General features: G+C 39.6%; 2 protein-coding genes across 34 annotated transcripts in view, besides 1 other annotated feature; one reads left to right on the top strand and one right to left on the bottom strand.

Annotated features, from left to right (window-relative positions):
• ETFRF1 (electron transfer flavoprotein regulatory factor 1) lies at window positions 41-9,947 on the bottom strand. 4 transcript variants are annotated; one of them, XM_005253320.5, is made up of 4 exons: window positions 9,847-9,947; window positions 1,352-1,459; window positions 1,177-1,264; window positions 41-1,093 (listed from the first exon to the last, which is right to left on the bottom strand). In XM_005253320.5, exons 3-4 carry the CDS (start codon window positions 1,225-1,227, stop codon window positions 872-874), a joined length of 273 nt encoding a protein of 90 aa, XP_005253377.1. In that variant the 5' UTR covers window positions 1,228-1,264; window positions 1,352-1,459; window positions 9,847-9,947; the 3' UTR covers window positions 41-871. The 4 variants fall into 4 exon arrangements, with proteins under 4 accessions (XP_005253377.1, XP_005253376.1, NP_001001660.2 ...); XM_005253319.5 differs by lacking the exon at window positions 1,352-1,459 and having other exon boundaries at window positions 9,843-9,947; NM_001001660.3 differs by lacking the exon at window positions 1,352-1,459.
• Window positions 9,587-9,706: an enhancer, noted in NCBI's record as "active region_6115". NCBI's record gives its function as "activates an Ori minimal core promoter by ATAC-STARR-seq in GM12878 lymphoblastoid cells {active_cell/tissue: GM12878}" and the evidence as "EXISTENCE:reporter gene assay evidence [ECO:0000049][PMID:35858748]".
• A 76-nt stretch (window positions 9,948-10,023) lies between the features above and the next one.
• DNAI7 (dynein axonemal intermediate chain 7) overlaps window positions 10,024-16,950 on the top strand; it is an 88,114-nt gene continuing 81,187 nt past the window's right edge. For 14 of the 30 annotated variants that reach the window (NR_147911.2, NR_147910.2, NR_147909.2 and 11 more), the window contains exon 1: window positions 10,024-10,108. Coding sequence is in view for 17 of the 30 variants with exons in the window: in NM_001352067.2 (NP_001338996.2) it covers window positions 10,106-10,108 (3 nt within the window). In the remaining 13 variants the exon portion in view is untranslated. Of the gene's footprint in view, window positions 10,299-14,552; window positions 14,571-16,950 lie in introns of all 30 variants that reach the window. The other 16 variants (XM_011520723.2, XM_017019565.2, XM_006719101.2 and 13 more) reach the window with 3 other exon arrangements.

Here is a 16,950-nt window from a genome sequence, read left to right as displayed (position 1 = left end):
TATAAGCCATAGACACTATAGTATACCAGTGAATCTTTTATGCAGCTTGTTAGAAGTATCCTTTATTTCTAAAAGGTGCTGTGGATATTATGTAAAGGCGTGTTTGCTTAAACTTAAAACCATATTTAGAAGTAGATGCAAAACAAATCTGCCTTTATGACAAAAAAATAGGATAACATTATTTATTTATTTCCTTTTATCAAAGAAGGTAATTGATACACAACAGGTGACTTGGTTTTAGGCCCAAAGGTAGCAGCAGCAACATTAATAATGGAAATAATTGAATAGTTAGTTATGTATGTTAATGCCAGTCACCAGCAGGCTATTTCAAGGTCAGAAGTAATGACTCCATACATATTATTTATTTCTATAACTACATTTAAATCATTACCAGGAACTGTTTGTTTTGTAGTGAACCTTGAGTATGTGCTGTTAATATACCAAATTGGGTGAAAAAATAAGGGATTCCTTTCAAAAGTTAAGAGAAGTAAGTGTGTAAGAAATTATTTTGCTTATTAAATGTTCGGTAAATGGCATTCTCTTGTCAGTAAAATGGAGAAATAAGCTAAAAATAATTGGCTAAGTCCTATTAAGTTAGAGGATTAAGTGTATTATATTTTCATTCAAAATTGGGTGCTCATTAATTTATGATCGGTAGTATAGCTAAATTGCTATGTTTGTATCAAAATTGAGCATAAAGTTGCTGATACTTTCTCCGTATGAACAGAAGTTGAAACCTATTTAGTTCAGTAGGGCAGCTCAGGGATTTTTTACACAACATGTATATCTTCCCATTTTAAGTTAGAATTATTTTACAACATCTGGTATACATAAACAGCTGGCACTGATAGCTAAATTAAAGTAGTAATGATCAATTAGTTTTGTTGGTATCTGAATAATAGCGTTGTTTCATAGCTCTGTATTTCCTAAGGAAGTACAAAGCTTCTAGCTCTTTCATTACAAATTCGCCCTGTGCAATAAGTTCTTTGATCTTCTCTGGATTCTTCACATCTTTGTTTTTAAGGAAAATGTTCTTCAAACGCTTTTTAAAATAGTCTGCTCCTTTTGGATAGTCTCGTCCAAGATACAGCAGCTTCAAAAAGAAAGATTATATATTTCTAAACAATCCATGTCATATAATAACATTTTTATAAAATTGGCAACATAATTACTTACATTTTTATAAAGTTTTAGTACTTCTCCTCTTAAAGAATTGGCCATTTTCATTTATCATGTAAATTATCCACTTTTATGCATAACATACCTAAAGAAAGGAAAATTTTTTTGCAATTAGCTGCATTGTAGTCTTAAAAAAATAAAAAAAGGTTATACACATTGAGAAAATGGTAACCTTTTTTACATTCAATAAATATTTCTTGATAACTTTTTCGTTCCACGTACTGGGATATAGTTATAAACACTTCCGATAAAATTACCTGCTGTCATAATTGACGTTTTCCTATGGGAGACATAAGCAAAGACAATTGTGATTGTGAGAAGTCACATGAAGGAAATGAGAAAGTGGATTGTCATCACAGATAGGTACGTGTACCTCCTTTTATGCCACAGTGGAATGAGTTAAACTAGATTTAAATTCCAGTTGCATAATGTACAGATTAATTAACCTTGCTGAGCCTGAGTTTTCCTTATCAACAAACAAGAGATTATCTTTACCCTGCTCTCAAGGCAAGGCCAGAGCCACTTGAAGGACATTGAGCAGAAGCCTGATCAAATGCTGATGGGTGCTTATCCAAAGGGAGGCTGAAAACTAGCAGAAACTGGGTGAGTTAAGCAGGTTGGAATAGTAGATGGGCAGTAAGATTGGTGGTGAAGAGGCCAAATGAACAACCTGTAAGAGGGTGTCCCTGAGGAACAGGCAAAATCATGCTTCTTTATGTGTAATGTGTTAACTCTACTTTGTAGAGGAGGCTCCAAACTTAAAGGCATCATGACAGTCTAAACCTAGAAAATAATTCCCACTACCTGTTAGAGTTGAATAGTAAGCTCTTAACATTGCATCCTATCAGGTGGATGCAACTGCAATTTGTTCCATTGTGATTGATAACTTTGATTACCCAATTAATGTATTTGCTAAGATTGTCCATTGTAAAATTATTTCTCCAAGGAACCTAGTCCTTTTAATGGAGAATAGCATTTAGAAACTATAATCTGGATGGAATGCTTTAGAAACCAAGGTCTGGGTGCTAAAAATGCTAATCACCATGGGACTGTCACTGTTCCCAGGTCCTCTAAGTGACAAAGCTGCAAGTGTATATACATACGGATTTAGGTGTTGTATGTGTGTATGACTTTTATATTAATCTCCATATAATCTGCTACCTAACATTCAATTCCAATACTACAGGGTTTATTTTCATTTCCCCTCTTTACATGGGTTTAATACTCTTGCTGAACAGTGAGAAGTCTGGTTCCCACTTGTCCTTAATAAATTTACTTTTTATAATCATCACCCCTTCTCTCACTATGTAATCAAAATCCTCTTGCTGTCACCATTCGGCGCACACACTCTACTCTCTGAGCTCTGCCACCTAATGCCAGAGTGCCACTGCCACCATCCCACATGCATGGTCTTCTCTTCCCCCTTTCCCCCAACCTACCCTTCTTGGGCTCAAGCAACTTACACTGCACCATTTCCTCCCTCCTGGGTAAGGCTCACCTTTTGTTCCCATTCCAAAAACCTGTGCCACCATTTCCTTCACCCTAATAGGATGCCCTCCTCATCCCCTGCTAGGCTGCTGCTGTGCACAAGTCCCTACCCCCAGAGGCCCTCCTCACTGCATTTGGGCTCCAGTATCCCCTGCTGGGCTACTACCTTGCCAGCCTTTCTCTCGCCCCCACCTTCCCCAGATGCCTGCCTTGCTCAGCCCCACGTAATGACTTTTGGACTGAATTACTCTGATAGGCAAGCAGGAAGCAACTTTTTTTTTTTTGAGATGGATTCTTGCTCTGTCCCCAAGCTGGAGTGCAGTGGTGCCATCTCAGCTCACTGCAACCTCCACCTCCCTGGTTCAAGCAATTCCCCTGCCTCAGTCTCCCCAGTAAGCTGGGACTACGTGTGCGCGCCACCACGCCTGGCTAATTTTTTTTTTTTTTTTTTTTGTATTTCAGTAGAGACGGGGTTTCACCATGTTGGCCGGGATGGTCTTGATCTCCTCACCTTGTGATCCACCCACCTTGGCCTCCCAAAGTGCTGGGATTACAGGCGTGAGCCACCGTGCCCGGCCGCAACTTATATTTTTAAAATAGGCTTTTAGATCAGTTTTAAGGGTTATTTTATAGTTAACTAGCAGAAAATGTGGATTAAAATTACAGTACCATACTCAATTAAAAATCATGCGCTACATAATTTAAGTTCTCCTGTTAACTTCTGTTTGGGTTGAACCCCGAAGTACAATAGTGTAGATTCTCATTGTGACCTCACCTGCCCCTTTAGGCATTTTGCAAAATTTACACCTTTTACAATTTGAAAGGCAGGGTGCCAGTGCCTTCATGTATTTCATTTAATCTGAAATTTTTATACGTATTAGACATAGAAACTGCATAAAATATGAATGTACAAATTAAAGTAAAATATACATCTGGGTACCCATCATTCAAGTTATGAAACAAAAGTCTTAGAAGCCCCCATGTGCCCCTCTCCAATTGCTTCTCCTTCCCCATCTCTACCAAGATAGCCTCTAATGACTTCCTGCTTATTCTCTTTAGTTTTCCCAGCACTCATGAACATTGCCCTAAATATTTAATTTTGGCAATTTGAGCAGCAAGCACGAATCTAGCAAGGAAAAGGGCAACAATGCTGCTGTTAATTAAAGCCAAACAGCCCTAGTCTGGCTTTACCTTCTCCAGGCTTTCTGGATCCCTTCTAGAGAAGTTAATTTGCAATGTCATGAGTGAATACTGGGCTCCTCACAACTGAAGCATGTGGAAAGATCAAAGTGTAGAATTGATACCTGATTTCTGGCCAATACATAGCAAAAATGGGAAGGAGGAAGGCTATTTTCTGCTTTAAGCTCACCAACGCCCAACATCAGCTTTCAGGAATAGGTTGAAAAAGAAGGGTAAAAATGAGTGTCCTCAGTTGGTCCAGTCAGCACAGCACAGAAGAGAGCAGGAATTTCATCACCACATGGTCAAGACAAGGCAAATACCGGTAAGAATCTGAGCCAGGCTTGCCTGGGCATAATGTCCTCAGATTAAAAAGATGATACAATGGCAGCAGGGATCTTAGTGATAATAGCCATCAATGTGAGTCATGCTGCTTGATTCTGGACTGACTGCTCTCTACATCAAGAAGCACAACTGTGGTGCTGGAATCCTACTTGACCATGCTCCCAGAAATTCCTCTTGCCTATCCTCTATGTTGATTATCCCATTTTCTACATTCCAAAGTGTTCCATTTCCTGGTTTTATTTTTGTTTCTGTGGAGCACATCCTAACTTCTTGAAAAGGGTACATGGAAGGTAAATGAGACCCTGGATGTCTAAAAATGGCTGGCTCCCTCTATCTGTTTGATAGCTTGTCTGAGTATAGAATTGAAAGCTGGAAATAATTTTCTTTTCAACATTTTGAAGTAGTTGCTCGTCTGTTTGCTTTTACCATTGCTATTAAGTTCAAAGCAGTCCTGGTAAGTGATCCTCTGTATGTGATGTATTTTTTCTCTCTCTCCCCAGAAACTTACAGAATCTTCTCCATGAAGATTTTGAAATGTTAGTGATGTGTTGATAATGGATTTATTTTTATCCATTGTACTGGACACTCAGTTGGCCCTTGCAATCTGGACACTTGTTTCCTTCAATTTGGGAAAAAATTTTAAATGATTTCATTCATGATTTCCTCCCTCCTCCATTTTCTTTTTTCTCCCTTCCTGGAACTTTTATTATTTGGATGTTTGAACTTCTAAACATGTTCTCTTCCTTTTTTCTGTACTATTTTCCATTTGTCTTTTTTTTTTAAGCATGGAGTTTCGCTCTTATCACCCACGCTGGAGAGCAATGGCCTGATCTCAACTCATTGCAACCTCCGCCTCCTGGGTTCAAGTGATTCTCCTGCCTCAGCCTCCCAAGTAGCTGGAATTACAGGTGCCTGCCACTAAGCATGGCTAATTTATGTATTTTTAGTAGAGATGGCTTTTCACCATGTTGGCCAGGCTGGTCTCGAACTCCTGACCTGAGGTGATCCACTCTCCTTGGTTTCCCAAAGTGCTGGGATAACAGGTGTGTGCCTCTGCGCCCAGCCTTTTATTTAGTTGTATGGGGGATTTTCTCATTTTCTTCTTCCAAGTGTTCTACTGAGTTGTTCATTTCTGCTCTTCCTGGACAGTTAATTTTGACCACTCAGATTGCTCTCAGCATAGCTGGAGACTACTATAGAGATGTTAAAAATACTCAAAAATTATAATAGAGTAGCCTGGGAATGGGAGTAGGGGCTGGAGACCAGGAAGGAATCAAAGATGCACAAGGCAACCTTTGTGGATAGTGGATATATTTATTGTCTTGATTGTGGTGATGGCTTCATTGTGTGTGTGTGTGTGTGTGTGTGTGTGTATGTATACATATATGTATATATACAAATCTATATAATTAGTATAGATACTATATAGTATATAGTATGTAGTTTTCCCACCACTTAGCCCTGTTCTTAGACTTTTGCTGGCATTTCTATTACTTGCAAAAATATATTAAAATATATATTGACAAACAGAGGTAGCCAGCCATTTTTAGTATATAGTATACTATGGTATATATATCTACCATATACTACATAGTATGTACTATGTAGTACATATATAGTTATGTACTATATATATTACTATATACTACATAGTACAGTATGTACTATATGTACTATATGTACTATGTAGTACATACTACGTAGTATATAGTAGATATATATAGTATATAGTACATAGTAATTCCTTTTATTTTTGTTTCTATGGAAACAAAAATATGTATACTATATATTATACTATATGTAGTATATATTATAGCACATATATATCTATAAATATGCATATATAGATGTGTATATATATGAACCAAATTTATCGAATTATACTTTGTAAGTGTAATTCAGTGTCAATTCTACTTCAGCAAAACTTAAAAAAATAATAGAAATGCCAGCCAAAGTCTAAGAACAGAGCTAAGAGATGCTGAAATAACACATGGAAGTAGAAATCCATCTAAACCACAAGGCTGCCAATTCGTGGGTAGGATAGGTGACTCTACCTGTCCTCAGTCGATGGCTACACAGAACTTGGGGTATGCCTCTCTGGGGAAGGAACCCTGGAATATACACTTGAATCAATGAAAAAATCTGAAAGACACTTGCCGCCAGCATAGCAGTGAAGCCATGACCTTTTCTTAACTGAAGGTCATACATTTACTGCTTTTCTGGCTCCTCTTTCCTAGGGAAAAAAATACTTCTACATTAATACTTGTTAAATTGTACTTACTACTAGTTAATGAGCTAATTCACATAACAAGCATATTATGTAGGCATTTTTTCTTTCCAAGTTCACTGATTCTTGCTTTCTTGAAATTTTCTGTTGTTTTACTTCAAATTGCTTTTCTGCTTGCTTTTGTCTCTTATCACTTCTGAGCTGTTTTACTTCAAATTGCTTTTCTGCTTGCTTCTGTCTCTATCACTTCTGAGCTTTCTTCCAAAGTCTGGTCATTCTTTTCTGTCTACTCTTATGAATGAAAAGACAAAAAAGCTTTTTAGATCTGTATACGTGGGTGAAGCATATAGACTCTGGGCTTCACTTAGGGTGCTCTGGGTGGGCCTTTACTGGGGAACCTCTGATGTCACTATCTTGGATTGCTCCTCCTGGGCTGGTCAGTTCCTCAGAGTTGAGTCTTCCAGTCTTCTAAGGATAAGAGGAATGCGGGCCCTGCATCCAGCATTATGTATTCCTAAATTCACTTAACTTTGTTTCCAGTGTGCTTCTCTAGAATGCCTGAGGATGCCCCAGTCCAGGGACTAGTATTACTTTGTCCAGAAATAAACCTCTAGTCTTCTATGGGAGTAAGGGGGTAGAGTTACTTAGAGGTGTTTCTCAAATAGCTTTCATGTAGTCCACTTCCAATTTCAGGGTGCGTGTTTCAGTGCCTTTTGAGAATTCTGCAGAGTGAATTGGGTTTTTCTGGTGTGCTAAGTCACATTCATTCACCTGTTTTCCAGCTTCTGAGTTTTATTGCTGTTACCTCCTGTCCCCATTTTTCCAATTTATTTTTATATCATTTTACTGTAGATTTAGTAGTTTTGGAAGGGAGTAAAATTAGATGAGGGTATTTAACCCACTATATTAACTACTTCATTCTTTAAACTTCCTTTTTTTTCTTTTGGCAGAGAGCCATTAGCAGCGTGAAATAATCTTACTAAGAATGATTCTTAGGCTGGGCATGGTGGCTTGTACCTGTAATCTCAGCACTTTGGGAGGCCAGGGCTGGAGGATGGCTTGAGCTCAGGAGTTTGAGACCAGCCTGGGCAACATAGTGAGTGAGACCTTGTCTCTACTAAAAGTAAAAAAATATTAGCCAGGCATGGTGGCGTGTGCCTGTAGTCTCAGCTATTTGAGAGGCTGAGGTGGGAGGATCGCTTGAGCCCAGGAGGTTGAGGCTGTAGTGAGCCGTGATTGTTCCACCACTCCAACCTGGGCAAAATTCATTTTGAGACCCTGTCTCAAAACAAAACAAACAAAAAACACCTCTTCGGAACCATGTTCTTTTCACATAATTTAAAATTAAATATACATAGATGTAATTTCGAATTGCAAACTATAACCTGTTTAATGCCTAACAGCACAGCTTCATTTAATTCACAATTTGTAACTTGTGAAAGCTTTCAGGGACCTGGCTTAAGTTGTCCTTTTTAGTTGTTGGTCTTTTTACAAATTATGTATCATAAAACACTTGCCCAGCAAAAATGTAACTAGTGTGGCTATGGCAAATTTGTTCTTCTTTGATATGTTAACTTATATGAATTAATGCAGTTTATCTTTTTTTTTTTTTGAGACGGAGTCTTGCTCTGTTGACCCGGCTGGAGTGTAGTGGTGCGATCTTGGCTCACTGCAACCTCCCTCTCCCGGGTTCAAGCGATTCCCGTCTCAGCCTCCAGAGCAGCTGGGATTACAGGTGCTGATCACCACGCCCGGCTAATTTTTTGTATTATTTTAGTAGAGACGGGGTTTCACTGTGTTATCCAGGATGGTCTCCATCTCCAGACCTCGTGATCCACCCACTTTGGCCTCTCAAAATGCTGGGATTACAGGCGTGAGCCACCACACCAGGCAATGCAGTTTATCTTTATGCAGTTGACCTTGAAGCATTTAGGTTTACTTTAGCCACTAAGAGAAATAGGTCTCCTTGGGTTCACAATGTAGTGAATAAACAATTTTGAGTTCAGCAGGGCCCTGAGGCTGCTCCTGAACTCTGCATGAAGTCATGGAGGTTACTGTTTTAAGTAAAGAGCCAAGAGTTAAGGACTAAGAGAAGCCCCCTATTATTCTGAAAACTTGGATGTGTGCGCTGGATGAGACAGCGGTTGCAGTCCCCATTGATAGTTTTTTCCCCCTGTCATTCTAGGCTAAGGAGTTAGGACTTAACCAGTTCCAGTTCCAGGCTAATGGAAAATTGTCATTTTACTGGGGGTTATGTGGTGGCCAAAGTTGTTAATCATTGTTCCCCATGGGGTAGATACAGTGAGAGCTTCAGTAAAGCCTTTCCTCTAAAAGCCCACTATTTTAAGGTAACTTGGGATTACTGAACTATCTCCTTACCCCGATGAATCCTAACTTGAGTTGACTGAGGTGTTTTATCATTAAACATTAGTTTTACTGAAACTAATTTAAAAGGAAGCCTTAACTTTCATATCAAACAGCTATGGTAAACTGAGTAAGAACTCTGTACGAAGTCGCTATTAAAATGTTTTTATCTTGCTACCAGGATATGGATGTAAAATGCTAATAACTATTACACAACCTATAATAGTTACAGGTTACAATAGGGATAATAACACTTTAACCCACAAAGACTAGCTTAGTCCTACTACTTATCTATGAATAATGCATGTAGTCAATAACACTGGAAGGGATAGAGCATTATAAACTTATAATTCAGAGATGAGAAATGGTGCCAGTAATTTAAAAGTATTTCAGGTCTCATAATGCTAAAACAGGGTGTAGGTATGCCCTACAATTACAGAGAACTCAGTCGGGCTTGAGGAGAACAGCCTCACTTAATTGTAGTTTTCCTGTCGGTGTAAGGTGCCGGCGTTTCTTCATGTGGGAGGAGACTGAAATTCTAAAGGTTGTGTGGTTAGTAAAATTAGTCTGTGACCTCGGGAAACTAATGAGTCTTTGGGGCCTCAGCGATCTTCATGTTAAGGAATATTTTAGCCAGGAATTGCTTCATTTTCAATTCTTGTTTAGGGCGCTCTTAGGAAAAAGGACGCGTACGCTGCACAGAAAGTAAACAATAGAGCAGAAAGAAGAATCCGAAGGTCATTAATCTTAAAATAACCAACCCTCTGGAGCCAACTTATTTCTCTCTTTAAATTGCGGAATGAGCCCCATCCCCCTGCTGGATTAAACCGCAGAGGCCCAGGCCTCCCACCGGGTGTCCGCTGCATGAACCAGTCGCATGCCTGTTTCCTTCTCGAAACCCTCACAGAAAGACCCAACACACTCTAGGAAATAAACCGTCAACGTCAGGAGACGCTCAGAACCCTCTTCCCACACCCGGTGGTCCTCGCCCAGAGCATATTTCGCCTCCAGACCCCAGGATCCGGGAAATGGAACAAAACTCCCCGGCGGCGGCACTCACGCACTTTCCGGCACGCCGGAGCCGCAAAAGCCTCGACCGCTACGACTCCTCTGTCCGTCTACTGCGAAGCGGGGTGGCGTTGGGGGAGGTGGGCAACCTGTCAGTAAAGGGGGCGGGGCGCCGGCCGGAAGAGCCTCCGCGCGGCTGCGCTCTTTTCCTGGAGCTCAAGTGGGCGGGGCCTGTCGTCCGGGCAACCCGGGAGCGTTTGTCCACACAATTTCTGCTCCGACTCTGCGGACTACTGCAGTGGAGCTTGACTCTTAATGGTGAGCAAGGCAAATGAGGCAGACAGGTGGAGGGGCGACCACTGATTCTGCTTCACCAGTGTTAAATAATGTAATCAAGAGCCAGTCATATTTTACAGCGAAGCGGGTCGGTTTGGGAAATAACTCATACCTTGGGGTGGGTCGGCCCTCTTCTCAGCAATGGCTTTCCTTACCTGGACCAGGCGGACAGGTAGGAGTCCCAAACCAGTTTCTGCAAACGGGAGATGGTCAAAGCTGTCACACGGTATCCTGATCTCGAATGTTGCTAAGCTTGAAAATTGGTCCCAACCTAGTAACTTTCAGTAGTGATAGACGTTCCCACTAAATTTTCTTATTGCAACTTGGCGGAAATGTTTTAGTACTTCTCCAGCAGTTAATTAAAAGCTAATGCAATTTACTCTGCTTTGAAAAAATATTTTATGTCGTCTTTTGTGGGAATATGAATTGTTTTGTGATTCAAGGTTCTCATCCTGCATTAGTTAAATATGATAAGGCTTCTCATTTTGTTTTTCTGCACTCCTCAACTGCCATGTTTTCAGCAAGGAGACAGGCCAACATGTAGCTATGAGAGTATCTCTGATTTTCTTAAATGTGGTTTCCATCAAGACATTTTCTATAATTAAAACCAGAGGAAGTGGAGAATGTAATTACTTATTTAATTCATTAATTAAGGGAAAAATGTGGAGTGCATTCTTTGTACTTGGCACTGGGCTAGAAGCCAAGAATACCAAGAAGAACATGACGACAACTCTGCTTATAGGATACAGATTAAACAAATTAATTACAATACAGCTTTACAACTGTAACAATTGAAGCATCTAAAATGGGGTAACACACAGTTGGAAATGATGAAATTTCAGTGAGGGGAAACAAGGGAAGGAGAGTGGTGCTTTTCAACCTGTTTTAAAGTATAAATACGAGTTTTCCACATATGGTGGGAAGAAATAGGGAGTGGAGGCCTGGCGCGGTGGCTCACCCCTGTAATCCCAGCACTTTGGGAGGCCGAGGCGGGCAGATCACGATGTCAGGAGTTCGAGACCAGCCTGGTCAACATGGTGAAACCCAGTCTCTACTAAAAATACAAAAATTAGCCGGGCGTGTTGGCGCGCACCTGTAATTCCAGCTACTCAGGGGGCTGAAGCAAGAGAATCGCTTGAACCTGGGAGGCGGAGGTTGCAGTGAGCCGAGATTGTGCCACTGCACTCCAGCCTGGGTGACAGAGCGAGACTCCGTCTCAAAAAAAAAAGAGAAAAAAAGAAATAGGGAGTGGAGAGCATTCCTGGCGGAATGCAAATGGACCTTAAGTCAATTTATAATTGCTAATAAATTGGGGGAACAGTAAGCACTTACTTGTTACCTTCCAATTTGTTACCTGAGTTTCTTCTTCTTCTTAGATCCTTCTCCCAATGTTTCTCAAAGTGTGGCCCATGGAACATTTATTTCTAATGCACCCGGAGTACTTGTTAAAAATGCAGATTCCAGGAACCCACTCAACTCCAAATCTACTGTATTAGTTTCCTAAGTCTGCCAAGTAAGGAATTGCCACAAACTGAGTGGTTAAAGAAAAGAAATTTATTGTCTCGTAGTTCTGGAGACTAGAAGTCCAAGATCAAAGTGTCAGCAGGTCTGTGATACCTCTGAGGGCCTTAGGGAGAGATCTGTTCAGACCTTTCCTGGCTTCTAGTAGTTTCTTGGTTTGTGGCAACAAAACTTCATTCTTCACATGGCATTCTCCATCTGAGTATATTAAAATTATTATTATATAAGGACACAAATCATATTGGATTAGGGGCCCACCCTATTCAGTATGGCTTCATCTTAATTTAACTAATAAAATCAGCAGTGACCCTGTCTCCAATTAGATCAAATTCTGAAGTACTGGGGATCAGAATTTCAACGTATGAATTTTTTTTCTTTTTTTTTTTTCTTTTTGAGACTGTCTCGCTTTGTCACCTAGGCTGCAATGCAGTGTCACCATCATGGCTTATCGAAGTCTCAGCCTCCCTGGTTCAAGCAATCTTCCCAACTCAGCCTCCTGAATAGCTGGGAGTACAAGGCACGTGCCACCACACCCAGCTAATTTTTAAATTTTTTTAGACAGGGTCTTGCTTTGTTGCCCAGGCTGCCCTCAAACTCCTGGGCTCAAGTGATTCTCCCACTTTGACCTCCCAAAATGCTGGGATTACAGGAGTAAGCCAGTGCACCCAGCCAACATATGATTTTTTTTTTTTTTTTTTTTTTTGAGGCAGAGTTTCGCTCTGTTGCCCAGGCTGGAATGCAATGGCGCGATCTCGGCTTACTGAAACCTCTGCCTCCCGGGTTCAAGCGATTCTCCTTCAAGCGATTCTCCTGCCTCAGCCTCCCGAGTAGCTGGGATTACAGGTGCATGCCACCACGCCCAGCTAATTTTTGTATTTTTAGTAGAAACGAGGTGTCACCATGTTGGCCAGGCTGGTCTTGACCTCAGGTGATCCCCCTGCCTCGGCCTCCCAAAGTGCTGGGATTACAGCTGTGAGCCACCGCACCCGGACAACATGTAATTTTTTGAGCAATACAATTCAGCCCATAACATCTACTAAACCACAGTGTAGGAAGAGAAGTGAGCATACACACGTTTAGTCCATAAATATGCATTTCTAACAAGCTTCCCATATGATTCTTATGCCCTCTGAACTTTGAGAACTACTTCACTACATAGTGGCTATTATGACATATAGGAGAAATGAGGATATGTACTTACCCCAAACCTGATTTACATTAAAAGCACAAGTGAGAAGTGACAATTTGCCCCTCTTTAAAATATGGCTAATTGAGAACTGGAGCAATGCTATTTACATATTCAGCTGTTTAGTACTTATTTCACGATGGAAGTATGTTAACTATTAATTGATAGAAGCTATGATAAAAATAGAATCTATTTGTAAAAATTATATGGCAGCAAAGTCTCTACTTTTCTATCTCCAGTGCCTCAGATTGCCTTGTGTGTAAATCATTAATTAATATCTGCCGAGTGAATTAGTGTAATATATGCACTCTTCAAGAAGATGGAATCTACTGATATGTGTTAAACTTCAGTTTTACACAGTATAATCTTATGGGTTGAACTAATATTTCCCATGTATAACTCTTCAAATATGTAAAGTGTCTTATGTTCACATGATCTCCTATAAATTCCTTACCAGAAATCTGATAAACACATGAGCCTAATCAGGAAAGTATAAGTGATATTATTGTAACTGTGAGTCTTTTTTGAAATCCTGTGCTTTCCAAAATAATTTCCAGAAAAGAATAGATCTGCCTTAAAACACATTGCTGAATAGAATCTTCATTTTATCATAGCTTTACCTGCTTTATTTATTTATTTATTTGTTTATTTTTTGAGTCTTGCTCTGTCACCCAGACTGGAGTGCAGTGGTGCGATGTTGGCTTACTGCAGCTCCGCCTCCCAGGTTCAAGCGACTCTCCTGCCTCAGCCTCCCAAGTAGCTGGGACTACAGACACATGCCACCATGCCCGGCCAATTTTCTGTATTTTTAGTAGAGACGGGGTTTCACCGTGTTAGCCAGGATGGCCTCCATCTCCTGACCCCGTGATCCACCTTCCTCAGCCGCCCAAAGTCCTGGGATTACAGGTGTGAGCCACCACACCCAGCCGCCTGTTTTATTTATTTATTCATTTTTTGGAAATGCGGTCTCGCTTGGCTGCCCAGGCTGAGTGTCATGGCTCGCTGCAGCCTTGACCTCCCGGGCTCAAGTGATCTTCCCACCTCAGCCTCCCAAGTAGCTGGGACCACACGCATGTGCTTGGCTAATTTTTAAAATTTTTTGTAGAGACGGGGTCTTCCTGTGTTGCCCGGGCTGATCTTGAACTCTTGGGTTCAGGTGATCCTCCCGCCTTGGCCTCCGCGAATGCTATTACAGGAGTGAGCCACCGTGTGAGGCTACTTTGCGTGCTTTAAATAACTGATTCCCTTTCTATAAAAATCATCAATCTAACTTTACGGAAAGGTTATTTCTTTATGAGATCATTCCCACACTTGCAAATTTGACATTAGTGCCAATAATTGGTCAATGATTTATTGTCCTTTGAACCCTTTAAACTAGTGCCTTCTTGACTAGTACTCTGTTTAGTAACAGGGCATTTCATTAAACATGGATCATTGATTGTCCTAAGAAACAGTGTAAAATCTACATACAAAAAAATGGTTCAGTAGGTGAACTTAGTTTTTCTATACTTATTTGTAGTTTTGTCTGAACTCTTTTTAAAAAAGCATTTTATTTTGGGATAATTTTAGATTTGCAAGGAAAGTTACAAAGATGGTACAGAGAGTTCCCTTATGCCCTTTACCAAGCTTCTTCTAATTTTAACATCTTACATAATCATGATACTTTTGTATCAGAATTGTCTTTAAAATTGATCAATTCTTTTGTTTTCCAACTTTTAGGGTCCCAAAGCAAAAAAGGTATGTAGAATTTTTTTCAAAATAGATAGTTGTATAATCACTTACAGTGTATGAACAGAATATTTACAGAATTATAAAATATTTTTATAGTTTTAGTTTGTAGAGTTTACTAAGCTTACTTTTTAGACATTAATGCAGTTTAAATCATGGAATAATCCTTTACAACAGTAGGACGCATTTCAAATTTGACATAAGAGAGTTCTAATTTCACAAATACTCTTAAAAATAGCTTTTAATTTTTACTTATGTCTAGATTTGGGGCTTTTTGTTAATTCTGCTCTAGAAAATGTTGGATTAGGAACCCCTTTTTCTTCACTCTAGATACATATATAAAATTTTAATTATAAAATGTGCTATGGCTTTAAAGTGAAATCTGAGGTAATACAACTTTAAATGGGTTGCATGGTAACACATACTTGGTGGGTTTTTTTGTACTGTTTAGAAATTTGAGTTCAATAAACAATGTACCATTCTATATGCCTTTTTCCAGAATGCCTTTTTCTCTCTTTACTTTGTAGATTTATACTTTAAATTAGAGTTTATAATCCATTGGCTGGCAGTCCAAATTTACCCTACAGACATATTTTGTTTGACCTTAGAAGTGCTTTTTTTTTTTTTTTTTTTAAATCAGTTGCCAACCTATTTTTATGCAACAATCTGATTTCCATCTATTCTTAAGAAATTGGAAACCTGATAACATTGGGCCTAAATAGTCCTGTAAGGCAACAATTGGCTGGGCTGAATAACAGCTACCCCTTTTAGGAATGCATAAAATCTTTGATTTGCCATAGTCTTGACCATAACCAAACCTCTTAGTTTATTTACCTGCTTGGTCCCAACAGGGATTTGGGTCTGGAATGCCTGCTTTAAGGCATATCTCAAATGTCACTTCTCTGTAAATTTTCCCATTGTTCCCTTTTACAGATCAATTATACTCTGTATTTTCTTGGTTTTGTTTTGTTTTGTATTTTAGAGACAGGGTCTCACTCTGACACCCAGGCTGGAGTGCAGTGGCATGGTCTTGGCTTACTGCAACTTCCACCTTCCGGGTTCAAGCAATTCTCCCACCTCAGCCTCTTGATTAGCTGGGATTACAGGCACGCGCCACCATGCCTGTCTAATTTTTGTATTTTTTGGTAGAGACAGGGTTTCACTTTGTTGGCCAGGCTGGTCTCGAACTCTTGACCTCAAGTGATCTGCCGGCCTCAGCCTCCCAGAGTGCTAGGATTACAGGCATGAGTCACTGCGCCTGGCTTATACTCTGTGTTTTCATAGCACATGCATTCGTGCATACCTCAATTATAACCCTTTATCATTTTATTGTAATTATTTATAATGGTGAGCTTTTCATGGTCAGGAGCGTGTCATATTTTTACATCCATAATGTTTAGCACAGTGCCTGGCACATAGTAGAAATTCATTCAATATTTGTTGAATGAATATGCGAAACCCCATTTAATCTACCACCCTTAAAAACACTTGGGCTCTTTCCAGGAAATGTTTATATACAGTGTATTCAGTATTTATACAGTTAAACATTTCTTCAAGAAATACCATTGAGTGCCTTCTTTGTTTGCTTCTGTCAGTCACTTGGACCCATGACCAACCTGATATTCTTTTAGAAACTGTGGATATAACTGAACAAAATTTATGAAGGCTCTGGAAGCATTCAAGCATTCTGGAGGGCCTGTGTGTCTCTGTAATCATTCATTGATTTGTGTGGACATTCATTTTGTGCTTTAGACTATGAAATCTTAGAGGCATCATTTTAAATCCGAAAACTCATTGTTTTAAATTACCTTGGTACTTCATGATATACATGGGTGGGCTATTACGTTGATAGTATTGTTTCTCTGAAAGAATGGTGAGATTCTTCCTATGAAATTTGAAACCAAACCCAGAGAAGAAATCGCTTACTTTTTTTTTTTTTTTTTTTTTTTGAGACAGAGTCTTGCTCTGTTGCCAAGGCTGGAGTGCAGTGGCACAATCTTGGCTTACTGCAACCTTCGCCTCCCGGGTTCAAGTAAAGAAATCACTTACTTTTTAATTATTTCACTTTTAAATATTGCAGTTTGGAGATGAGGTGTTCTGTAAAGGGAATTTACAGTGTAGGTAGGAAAACATTGAAGGATATATTTTATACTTTCTGGTTTTTTAAAGTTTTCTTAAGGGAAAATTAATGAACACACATGGTACAAAATTAAAATAGCATTAAAAAATTGAAACTTTTCTTCAACCCAAGACATTTGATCTGCCTTCCTAGAACCACTGTACATCTTTTCATAAATTTTCTAAACATTAAAGGGCGCACATATGTACACACACAGAGACCCCTTTTCTCCCTGCCTATGGGAGCATTCTGCACCTTCTGTTTTTCACT

This window comes from Homo sapiens, chromosome 12 (genome assembly GCF_000001405.40).
Source record: "Homo sapiens chromosome 12, GRCh38.p14 Primary Assembly".
Lineage (NCBI taxonomy): Eukaryota > Metazoa > Chordata > Mammalia > Primates > Hominidae > Homo > Homo sapiens.
The sequence above is the reverse complement of the archived record's forward strand: the minus strand, read 5'-3'. Positions and strand labels throughout refer to the sequence as shown.